This window comes from Homo sapiens, chromosome 12, assembly GCF_000001405.40.
Source record: "Homo sapiens chromosome 12, GRCh38.p14 Primary Assembly".
Taxonomy (NCBI): domain Eukaryota; kingdom Metazoa; phylum Chordata; class Mammalia; order Primates; family Hominidae; genus Homo; species Homo sapiens.
The window spans coordinates 119724476-119736500 of NC_000012.12; the positions used below are offsets into that span (position 1 = coordinate 119724476).

General features: G+C 42.6%; 1 protein-coding gene across 15 annotated transcripts in view; it reads right to left on the minus strand.

Annotated features, from left to right (window-relative positions):
- Positions 1-12025, minus strand: part of CIT (citron rho-interacting serine/threonine kinase) — a 191530-nt gene that overhangs the window by 38685 nt on the left and 140820 nt on the right. For all 15 annotated transcript variants that reach the window (XM_011537788.2, XM_011537787.2, XM_047428134.1 and 12 more), the window contains 4 exons: positions 10685-10882; positions 9689-9882; positions 6020-6155; positions 4027-4131 (listed from right to left, as the gene is read on the minus strand). In XM_011537788.2, coding sequence (XP_011536090.1) covers positions 4027-4131; positions 6020-6155; positions 9689-9882; positions 10685-10882 — 633 coding nt within the window. The remainder of the gene's footprint in view (positions 1-4026; positions 4132-6019; positions 6156-9688; positions 9883-10684; positions 10883-12025) is intronic.

The following is a 12025-nucleotide window of genomic DNA, read 5'->3' on the forward strand; positions in this document are numbered from 1 at the left end:
TTGGGATGTCCAAAGTCATTGTAAGTATTTAGGCCAAGGTTCAACGGGGCCTACCTATGAGGAGCGTTGGGGAAGGGATCTTCTACCTTGGATGAGAGATGAATTTGACCAGGACTAGCAAATGGACTTTGATCACTGATATTACTTCCAATGAACAGATAGTGGCTATAAAGTGTCATGTTGGCCAGGTGCAGTGGCTCACGCCTGGAATCCCAGCACTTTGGGAGGCCAAGGTGGGTGGATCACGAGGTCAAGAGATCGAGACCATCCTGGCCAACGTGGTGAAACCCTGTCTCTACTAAAAATACAAAAAATTAGCCGGGCGTGATAGCAGGCACCTGTAGTCCCAGCTACTCGGGAGGCTGAGGCAGAATGGCGTGAACCCGGGAGGCAGAGCTTGCAGTGAGCCGAGATCACTGCACTCCAGTCTGGGCGACAGAGCGAGACTCCATCTCAAAAAAAAAAAAAAAAAAAAAAAAAAAGTGTCATGTTGAGAAAGCTTCTGAAGCCATTTTGGGCCCAGGAGGAAAAATGTGAAAGATCCATTAGTAAAGTTTGTCAGGAGCAAGGATAAAGGGAATAGTGCTGGAAATTCAGACTGGATGATATAAAAATTCTTTCAATTCTGAGACTTTGATTCTGGCTCCATTTAAAAGTCTCCTTATAGGCCAGGCATGGTAGCTCATGCTATAATCCTAGCACATTGGGAGGCTGAGGTGGGCGGATCATTTGAGGCCAGGAGTTGGAGACAAGCTGGGCCAACATCGTGAAACCTTGTCTCTACTAAAAATACAAAAAAATTTAGCCGGGAGTGCTGGTGTATACCTGTAATCTCAGCTACTCGGGAGGCTGAGGCAGGAGAATTGCTTGACCCTCGGAGGTGGAGGTTGCAGTGAGCCAAGATCACGCCACTGCACTCCAGCCTGGGCGAGAGAGCAAGACTCTGTCTCAAAAAATAAAAATAAAAATAAAAAATAAAAGTCTCCGCACCTACGAAGAGGATACTTAGGTGGAAGCCTTGGGCACATATGCTTATACAGCACACACCAACCAGGAGGCCCAATCACAATGTGGACAATAAAGAGCATTCTTTGTTCCAGAATGGTTTCAACTGTCACTGAAATCTGCCTCCGGCTCAATGTCAGCCAGAAGTCTGTGCTCAAAAATCTTTCTGTGAGGAACATCCTGGGAAACTGGAAATGTTCTCATGTAGGTTAGAAGTGAGAAGGAGGGAACTGAATTGGGATCCCGGCACTCTATTCCTAGAGTCGTCACTGACTCACCACATAACCTTGGACCAAAGTACTGGGCTGTCAGGGCCAACTCGCCCTCTCAGAAGGAAAATAGGACAGGCAAGAGCATTGATTATTTCTGTTCTTTCTGTTTGCAGGATGTGCCTAAGTGGGAACACTGTCTATTCACTGCAGATAAAAGACCCTAATTCTCTATTTGACCACGAGGTACATTTAACATTTCCACTGTAGTGTTGTTCTTAAGGCCACGGGGTGAATTCCTATGTGTGTTCACCAAATATACGTGTGTGTGTGTGTGTGTGTGTGTTTAGTATTAATTTTATTTTTTAAATTGTTTACAGAGGCAAAATACACGACATAAAATTTACCATTTTAACCATTTTTTAAGTGTATAGTTCAGTGGCATTAAGTACACTCATGTTATTGTGTAACCACCACCACCATCCATTTCTAGAACTTTCTCAAACTCCCACCCATATTTTTCATTTTAATTTTTAATTTTTATTTTGAGACAGGCTCTCACTCTGTCACCCAGGCTACAGTGCAGTGGTACCATCAGAGCTCAATGCAGCCTCAAACACCTGCGCTCAAGTGATCCTCCCACCTCAGCCTCCTGAGTAGCTGGGACTAGAACTGCACACCACCACACTTGGCTAATTTTTTTTTTTTTTTTTTTTTTTTTTTGTAGAGATGGGGTCTCACTATGTTGCCTATACTGGTCTCAAACTCTTGGCCTCAAGCAATCCTCACGCCTCAGCCACCCATATTTTTTAAAGTATCATTCAATAAAATATTTTATACTCACCCGCAAAAATGTCACTATACTTTTCAAACTTAACAGCATAACAATATTATTTCTATCAGCAAAGTGCCTCAGGAGCTATGGGTATCACGTGACAAAACCTCATCAGCCAGAACAGGGCATTCTGGTTAATTAAACTGTCAGGCTCACTAAGGGTTAAACAGAATACTCTTTGGAGTCCAATTTTTCATTATAAAGTGCATTTGTCCTTGCAGGTCAATCCTAAAGAACAAAGCGGAATCATCAGTGATTCAACACACAGGGCTCTGGTTGGGGAGTGGGAGGTAGTCATCAATTTAAATAGCCGTTCTCAGAGTTCTGTGAAAAGGTACCAGCCATCACGTAAGGGATGGGTTTAGAAGATCAGTCTGAGCTTGTCTATTATGCTTCAAAAGCAGGGCACACATTATTTTTAACTAAATTACCCAATGTTCAAAAACCTTCATGAAATTTGGTACTCAGAATAATCTGATAAAATTCTGCCCTGTGCAGGAAGCTAATTTGCATGGATGTCCTATCGGCATGAAACTTAATATACTTTGGATATTAGCTCTAAAGAACAATTTAACTCAATATTCATTCACCCATGTATTTAATAAACTTCTATTTGGCACACACTTACTATGTGCTTGACACTCCATTAAGCATCACATAGAAGGATAAAAATGACAGAGACCCTCTGGCCTTCATGACATAGTCTTTTAATGTGTTAAATACCTTAAGACAAGTATTACATGACCCCCATACTCTTACTTGAAAATTCTAATTTCAAAATATCTAATTTGGATCTGACAAATTGTCAATTTCAAAATTCCACCTAGAACGGAAAGCTAACTACTGCACATTCTCACTTACAAGTGGGAGCTAAGCTATGAGTATGAAGGCATACAAGTGGTATAATAGACACTGTGGATTCAGAAGGGGGAAGGCGAGGAGGGGAGTGAGGGATGAAAAATTACCTATCGGGTACGATATACACTATTTGCGTGACAGGTACACGAAAAGCCCAGACTTCACCACCACACAATTCACCCATGTCACCAAAAAAACACTTGTACCCCTAAAGCTATTGAAATAAAAAAATCTTTTAAAGAAATTTGTTTACAAGTCCAGGCAGGGCACGGGGACTCATGCCTGTAACCCCAACACTTTGGGAGGCCAAGACAGGTAGATCACTTGAGCCCAAGGGTTTGAAACCAGCCAGCCTGAGCAACATGGGGAAACCCCATCTCTACAAAACAATACAAAAATTAGTCGAGCATGGAGGCATATACCTGTAGTCCCAGCTACTTAGGAGGCTGAGGTGGGAGGATGACCTGAACCCAGGAAGTCAAGGCTGCAGTGAGTAGTGATTGCTCCACTGCATTCTAGCCTGGGCAACAGAGCAAGACCAAAAAAAAAAAAAGACTCCAGAGAGAAATGAGCTACCAGCTATGAAAAGACATGGAGGAAACCTGGATGCATATGACTAAGTGAAAGCAGCTGATCTGAAAGGCTACATCCTGTGTGATTCCAGATATGCAACATTCTGGAAAAGGGAAAACTATGGAGACAGCAAAAAGATCAGTGGCTGCCAGGAGTTGAGGGTGGGGAGGGATGAACAGGCAGAGTACAGAGGGTTTTTAGGGCAGTGAAACTATCCTGTATGATACAGTAAAGGTGGATAACTGTCATTACACATTTGTCAAAACCCATAGAACATACAACACCAATAGCAAACCTAATTTAAACTATGCATTTGGGGTGATGACGATGTGTCAGTGCAGGCCCATTGATTGTAACAAATGGACACTCTGGTACAGGGTGTTGATAGCTGGGGACACTGTGGGAGGAGGAGACAGGGAGTATGTGGGAACTCTCTGTGCTTTCTGCTCAATTTTGCTGTGAACCTAAAGCTGCTCCAAAAAAAAGAAGCCTATTAAAAGAAAAAAAAAATCCACTTGGCCCTTCTCCCAGGTATTTCACACTCACCTCTTCCAGAAGCCTCTGTTTGAGCTCTCGTTCAGTCTCCAGCTTCTGCTGTAAGCTTCGGGCATTCATTTCAAGCATAGCATGCTTCTTCTCCAGGTCATTGAGCTAGACATTTGGAAAGATTGGCATAATGCCACACTTAGGAATGTTAGATGCTGACAACGTTTATGAATGTCCACGAACCTTCACGGAGAAAGAATATTGAGTTCTAAAGGTCAGAACGTAAAGGTTGCTTTTTTCTAAATACAGAAGTCCCTGTCACTGGTGAGTCTTCCATAGGTTATTATATGAGGATGGAAATTATTTCTAAGGGATGGCTCTTAAATATGGCTGTGACAAGTTCTAGGAGGATAACTGCTCAAGGACTTATTTATCTGACATGCTTTGGCTGAATTTAATTAAATAATCATACGCTGAATGCTTACTACCTGCATTATAGCTTTTAGGATGAAAGGATAACCAAGCTCTCAAGGATCTTACGTCAAGTCAGAAAGGCCCATAACTAGACATGTATGCAAATAATGACTGCTCTGTCAGCTTATAAGTTTGATAAGAAAGGCTTGGGAAAGAAATTCAACCCAATTAGGAGAAGATCAAGACAATAAGGTATTGCAAAGTCTGGAGCTTTAAAAGATATGAAGGACTTTGCTGCTTAACATTTTAAGAACAGTCAACTAGAAAAAAATATTTTTCACATTAAACATAAAAGGCCTCACATAGCTCTAATAAATCTAGTTTCCTCATGCTTAAAAAAAATGGTAACCCAGTTTCAGGGAACTCAGGAGCATTCCTGACTAGAGAGCTCTGGCCTTAAACCTAATAATTCTGCTTCTATTAATATAAGTATCCGGTAAGAAAATAATCATGGATGTCCATAAAGATTCATGTTTATCATATTGTTATTTATATGGTAAAATACTGGAAGTTCAAATTTCCAATACAAGTATAATGATTCAAGTAGGTACTTCCATGCAATTTATTTTTTTTAGAATCACATATTCAAAAAATATTCAACTCAGAAAAAACCTGAAGTTAAATGATTTTTAATAAAAACAGGTAAAGCTGTATATATAATGAAAATCTAATTTATAAAAATACATACGTATGTCTATGTATATGTGTGTATGCATAAACATAAGCACAGAGACTGCAAATAAATACACCAATAAAACAACAGCGATGGGTGACCAGCCATTATTTCTTTTACTTTTCTGTGGTTTCTATATTTTCCACAATGACCCAAATAATTATTTTTCTATCATGAAATAACAAAGTTATAGAAAATATAAAATCAGATCGTTATTTTATTTTGTGTGTGTATGTGCATGAAAAAGAGTGTCTATGTATGCATCTGTGTGTTCATACATAAAAGTCCTCTGATCTTCACTTTGGTGATCTGTAACGCTGAAGCGCCTATTCTGTATCTCTCTCAAGATTATTAGCTAAAATCTCCAAAACATTGTTTATGACTATAAATGTAATATGGAGAGGCACATGGATGGAACACGTGTATTTCCGATGTGAAATACTGAGAACCAGCATGCGTCATCAGACCCTATCACGACCCTGAACTTGGAACACGGAGAAGCTGAGCTGCCTATTACTGCAGCAATTGGATGAGCATTAGTCACTGCCACCAAGAACTTCCCAAAGATGCACAGCATTCAATCCATAAAGCCTTCTGGAAATAAGATGCCAGACAACCAGAGAGTAGAACACCCAGATCAAAATTCGAACTTCAAGGGCCTAGACACACAGATTTTAAAAAGTCACTGGCCGACTGTGATCACTGGGTACCCACCGCACCCACCCACGCTACTGCCAACCAAAAATGTCCCATGGTAAGGCAAAACCATGGGACATTTTTGGAGTGCATGAACATATGTTTATGAAATATGTTTGCCATGGATTGCATTTGAATTTTTATCAAGCGTGCCTTTAAAAGAAGGAAACGAAAATGTTTTCCTAAAAAGCAGAAGGGGTGGGCGCTGACCTTGTCAGAGAGGCTCTCGGCCTTCAGCTTCTGCTCTTTGAGAGCCTGCTGCAGAGCGAGAATCTCAGCCTTGTGCTCCTTCACTGCCAGCTCCACCACCTGGCGAGACTCGGTGATCCGCTGATCGGCTCTCGCCCTGCCAGAAAGACACAGGTCAGCTTTTGGTAGCCCCCCAACAGCTGACCTGCGGAAAGAAGGCTGGTCCGTCTCTAATCCTGACGAGCAACTAAACAGGCTGCAGGCCAGAAAGATGCCCAACCTTGACTCTTAGTTCCAAACTGTCTTCCTTTCCAACAGCTTACAAAGCAAAGATTTGACCCATGTTAGGCTTGGGTAAGGAAAAACAAAACAGGCCAGGCACGGTGGCTCATGCCTGTAATCCCAGCAGTTTGGGAGGCCAAGGTGGGTGGATTACCTGAGGTCAGGAGTTCAAGACCAGCCTGGCCAACGTGGTGAAATCCCATCTTTACTAAAAATACAAAATTAGCTGGGTGTGGTGGCGTGCGCCCCTAAACCCAGCTACTCGGGAGGCTGAGGCAGGAGAATCACTTGAACCCAGGAGGTGGAAGTTGCAGTGAGCCGAGATCACACCACCGCACTCCAGCCTGGGTGATAGAGCAAGACTCGGTCTCAAAACAAAACAAAAACAAAAACAAAGTTAAATGTTTTTGGGTACTCATCAAGAAACTGAAACTTGAGGCTGGGTGCAGTGGCTCACGCCTGTAATCCCAACACTTCGGGAGGCTGAGGTGGGCAGATCACCTGAGGTCAAGAGTTCGAGACCAGCCTGGCCAACATGGTGAAACCCCGTCTCTACAAAAGATACAAAAAATTAGCCAGGCATAGTGGCGCATGCCTGTAATCCTAGCTACTCAGGAGGCTGAGGCAGGAGAATTGCTTGAACTCGGGAGGCAGAGTTGCAGTGAGCCGAGATGGCACCACTGCACTCCAGCCTGGGCAACAAAGCAAGACTCCATTCTCAAAAAAAAAAAAAAAAAGAAAAAACAAAAGTGAAACTTGAATCTGATGAGTGTCTCCATAAATAATGCTAAAGAATAGAAAAACCAGAAGCAAAATAGGAAAAAAAAATCACTTCCCTTTCCCCATTTAGGTATCATGCTTCCTACTTCCACACTTTGGCTTATACAATCTCCTCCACTGGCCATTCCCTCCTTTGCTACTCTGCAAACTCAAATCTTACTCAGCCTTCAAGGATAAATTCAAATGCTATGATCTCCATAAAACTATTCCCACTTTCTCTTCTCAGGAGCAACCTCACCTTGTTCTGTAACAAAAGCATAACTGTATTTCTCTCCTAAATATATATATATATATATATATATATACTTTTTTTTTTTTGAGATGGAGTCCCACTCTGTCGCCCAGGCTGGAGTTCAGTGGCGTGATCTCAGTTCACTGCAACCTCCACCTCCAAGATTCAAGCGATTCTCCTGCCTCAGCCTCCCAAGTAGCTTGGACTACAGGCACGTGCCACCAAACCCGGCTAATTTTTGTATTTTTTGTAAAGACAGGATTTCGCCATGTTGGCCAGGCTGGTCTCAAACTCCTGACCTCAAGTGATCCACCCACTTCGGCCTCCCCATCTCTCCTAAATATCTGAATCCATATCTCCTCCAGTAGACTCTTAGGCTCTTGAGGACAAAGATTAACAATTATATTTTACTCATCTCAGTATCCCATATAATACCAAAACAGAAAAAAGAAAAAAAAGGAAAAGAAAGGCACGATCTTCCACAATTGCCCTGAAAGCAGACATGAAATGAAAGCAGACTAATGCTAGTCTTCCTGAGAACAGTTCATAATTATACCTTCCATGTATGGTCGTGTATTTCTTGATGCTGAAGCCAGATCCTACCCCAAAAATGATCTCTGTAGGTCCCTAAAAACAGCTAGGATAGGAGCTGGACTTGAGGGTGGGAGGGAAGGGGTCTGTGGGAAAACAACCAGAACTTACAATGAGGATGGGGGAGTCTAAGGATTCAGAAGGAAGCTGGAATAGGAGACTTAAACAGCAGTCCCTCACATCAACAAATACCCTGAGTGGGGAAGCTGGGAGGATCTACAAAAAGGAACTATTTCTACCATTTCTTTTGAAATGTAAGGGTTTTCATCTTTTACCTCCAAACTTTTGGAGCTCAACTGAACTTTGCGTAATCCATCTGACATATTTAGTTAAGCCTACTATGGCCAAGCAAAAGTGAGAGATAGATACCCAAGTGAGTGTAATACAGACTAATTCATTGATCGATATTTCTATGGATAGCTAATCTTGCTTAAGGAGTTCAGAGAATCACAGGAAGGTAAGTTTCAGAGGAAGGTGACATGAGCAAGTTGATGAAAAATGGATCCGATTCAGCTGTGCAGACAGGAAGTCACGGGGCACACACTAGCCCATATCATGCCTTTGTACAAACTGGAAAGCGGCACCCGTCCTTCTAGACCATTTCTTTCCATCTGTGAAATGTCACAACGTACCAATTTTGTCAGAAAGAAAACACTTTTCTGCCATGAGCTGTGTAAAACTGTCATAACAACTCTTCCAGTCTATGACATCTTTAATGTGACCAGCAACCCTTAGAACTATGGAGTATGCAATTGTGCCACTGTGGCCCCACAGGAAGGGAAATCTATACTGGGGAACTGTGGAAACAAAAGTGAGAAAGCAGAGGAACGATACTGCCTGAACTGATTATTATCATTTCCTACTAAGAAAGGAGAAAAAAAAAAAAACCAGCCAGGTGTGGTGGCTCACGCTTGTAATCCCAGCACTCTGGGAGACCAAGGCAGGTGGATCACTTGAGGTCAGGAGTTTGAGACCAGCCTGGCCAACACGGTGAAACCCCGTCTCTACAAAAATACAAAAAAAAAATTAGCCGGGCATAGTGGTGCACACCTGTATTCCCAGCTACTTGGGAGGCTGAAGAAGGAGAATTCCTCCCACCCTGGAGGTGGAGGTTGCAGTGAACTGCGATGGTGCCACTGCACTCCAGCCTGGGTGACAGAGACTCTGTCACAAAAAAAAAAAAAACAAAAAAAACCCACTAAACTATTCTTGTACAGCAGTGGTTCTCAACTGGGGACAATGGAGACACAGGGGATATTGGGGGCAATGTCTAGAGACATATTTGTTGTCACAACGTGGGAAGGGGGTTGTTGGTGGCATCTAGTGAGTAGAGACTAGGGATGCTGTCCCGTCCTACAATGCACAGGACAGCCCCCATAACAAAGAATGACCCAGCCTGACATGTCAATAGTGCCAAGGTTGAGGAACCCTGGGGTGGAGGGAAGACCAGGATTAAAATGGTAATGGTTTTGCTATGGCCTTGCTATGGTCACTCTGACAAGAAACCTCATGAGAGTTTTCTGCACAGAAAACAGAGGTATTTGCCCTGATGCCCAGGCCTCTGCATGGGGAAAACAGATACCAGTCATAGCCACAGAATCCAACTCACACTATCTACGTTTACAACTAGGGTGACCACCCTATCCTGGTTTGCCCAAGAGTCTCCTGGTTTTTAGCACCAGGAGGCTTGTGACCCAGGAAACTTCTCAGTCTCGGCGGGAATAGCTGATCACCCTGTCCACAACTCTCAGGCCGATCCTCCTGCGGTCACCTGTCATGAGCTTTCCACAAACACAAAGCCCCACCTGCTCTGTTTCTCGGTGTCCAGCATTCTCTGCAGCTCTCGAACCCGACACTCAAACTGGGATTTCTCATCACCCAGGACGCTCCTCCAGGCCTCCCACTGCCGCTCTTTTTCTAGCAGCTCATCGTTTAGGGCCTCCAAATCCATGACCTGTTCCTCCAGCATGGTGCACGTGGTCTTCAGAGCCTCCATCGTCTGCAAATCAGTAGCACTGATTTGTGCCTTGTCTTTAAACAAGGATTTCCTGGAGATTACTTTGGTCGGGTCAGTTTCAGAAAAGCACAAGTTTCTAACTACAGTTTGAAATGCGGTTTGTCTTTTGCTTCTGCAGCCCAAGGGGACCAGGCAAGAATGGATGAAGGGCCAGTTCTGCAGCCACCTTAGAGGCAGGATCCAAAGCAAAGCCAGGGGAAGTGACCAAGCTTAAAATCAAGCCATTTACATTGATCCCCCAAAGCATTTGATTTTGTTTTTATCTATCTTTATTTTTTCGAGACAGGGTCCAGCTCTGTCACCCAGGCTGGAGTACAGTGGCATGATCACAGTTCACTGCAGCCTCGACCTCCTGGGTTCAAGCGTTCCTCCCGCCTCAGCATCCTGAAAAGCTGGAACTACTGGCATGCACCACCAAGCCCAGCTAATTTTTATCTTTTTTATTTTTATTTTTTTTAAGAGATGGGGTCTCACTATATTGCCCAGACTGATCCTGAACTCCTGGGCTCAAGTGATCCTTCTGCCTCGGCCTCCCAAAGTACTGGGATGACAGGGAAGAGCTGCCACACTGGCCCTATTTTTTAAAATCAAAATTAATAAGAACTACACACTTTTAAAATACATTTTTAAAACCCTAAAGGCTTGGAAAAAAGACATGATTTTAAAAAGAGCCCAATTACTGTATGAGGTTCAGTGTTGGAACCCTTGGGAGAACGCACCAAGCACTCCTAAAATCCTTCTAAAAGTCCTCCAGGGATCTCACGACCTTGTTAACCCTCCTTACTTGCTTCTGGCTGGTAAGCTGCATCTCTCGTTCCGTGATCTCCCGGCGGAGATGGTCCACTTCACTTCGCAGTTGTACAATCTCGTCGTTGGCGCCAGAAGCCTCATCGAGTTGTTTGGACAAGTAGAAGTTTTGGTTGTTGAGTTCAGCGTTGTCCTCGGTCAGCTGGTTTAGCTGCTCCTCCAGGTCTGTGATTACCTAAAAGAGGAAAGGAATCCAGTTACACGCCAAGCACATTCATTTCAAATAAGAAATTGCTTCTAGGGCTATGGATTTCTGAACCCACGTGACACTGGCAATCAACGTGCCGCTCATGAGTTTGCCCACCTGACCGTGAGAGCCATGTCCAAGCTCCTATGCCCAGCCACTTAACTCTAAACACGAGCAGTGGAAGAAAAAGACTCAGTTTCTCTCTAACTCAGGACACATCTAAAAAATATGGCAAAAGCAATCAAAAGTAATCACTGCATGAAACGGATGACTTCGAATGAGATCAAATTGACGGAAATAATATAATGTGGAAAGAAAATGCAAATTAAGAATAGACTGGTATCACCATCCACTAATTAAGCTAAAAATGCCCATGACACTATCACTAGGACCTTATTATTGGAGATGGCCATAGTCTTAGAAAGCAAAATGAAGTTCTTATCAAGGAAGACTGACAGGGAAAGACGCCAGGAGTTATTTCGATAATATCACAAGCAATAAATTTAATTTCATACAACAAAGGAAAAAAACTTCAGGGAAACTCAGAAAAACCCTGAAAATACAATACACTGTACTATGGCATGACTTTAATGGATTTTACTATACAGTTGGCTATCAGACAATGGGAAGCCATGTATATGAAATTGTTATTTTATTGAGAGAGATTTAATCGGGGTTTGCTAAATTACTCTCCTGCTCAGTAGCAGAATGACTTCAATTTCAGAACATTTAGCTTTCCTATTCTCTTTGCTGAGATTTAGTATTATGGCTTGCAGAGAGCTTTTATGTATAATACCTTGGAAGTTTAAGGGCAATTTTCTAATAATAGTTGGACTGAGGCACACAGGCAGTAAATTAAATTTTACGTAACAAAAAGAAGGAAATTAAAAGGAAATGCCGTTAAGCCTACAGTTATTAATTGTTTCCAATTTTCAAACCTAGAGTCGATTTCGTTTATGAAATGTTGCCATTGCTTTCATGACTAATTCCCTATTTTAACCCTCTTTGATTATCAATTTAAAAAAAAATCTTCCCAGGCACATGAAATTAAAGAACATCAATTAAGTACACTTGTCCACAAATGTACTCAGAGGAGATACAACTTTTCATTTTGTTAACTGAGCTGATAAC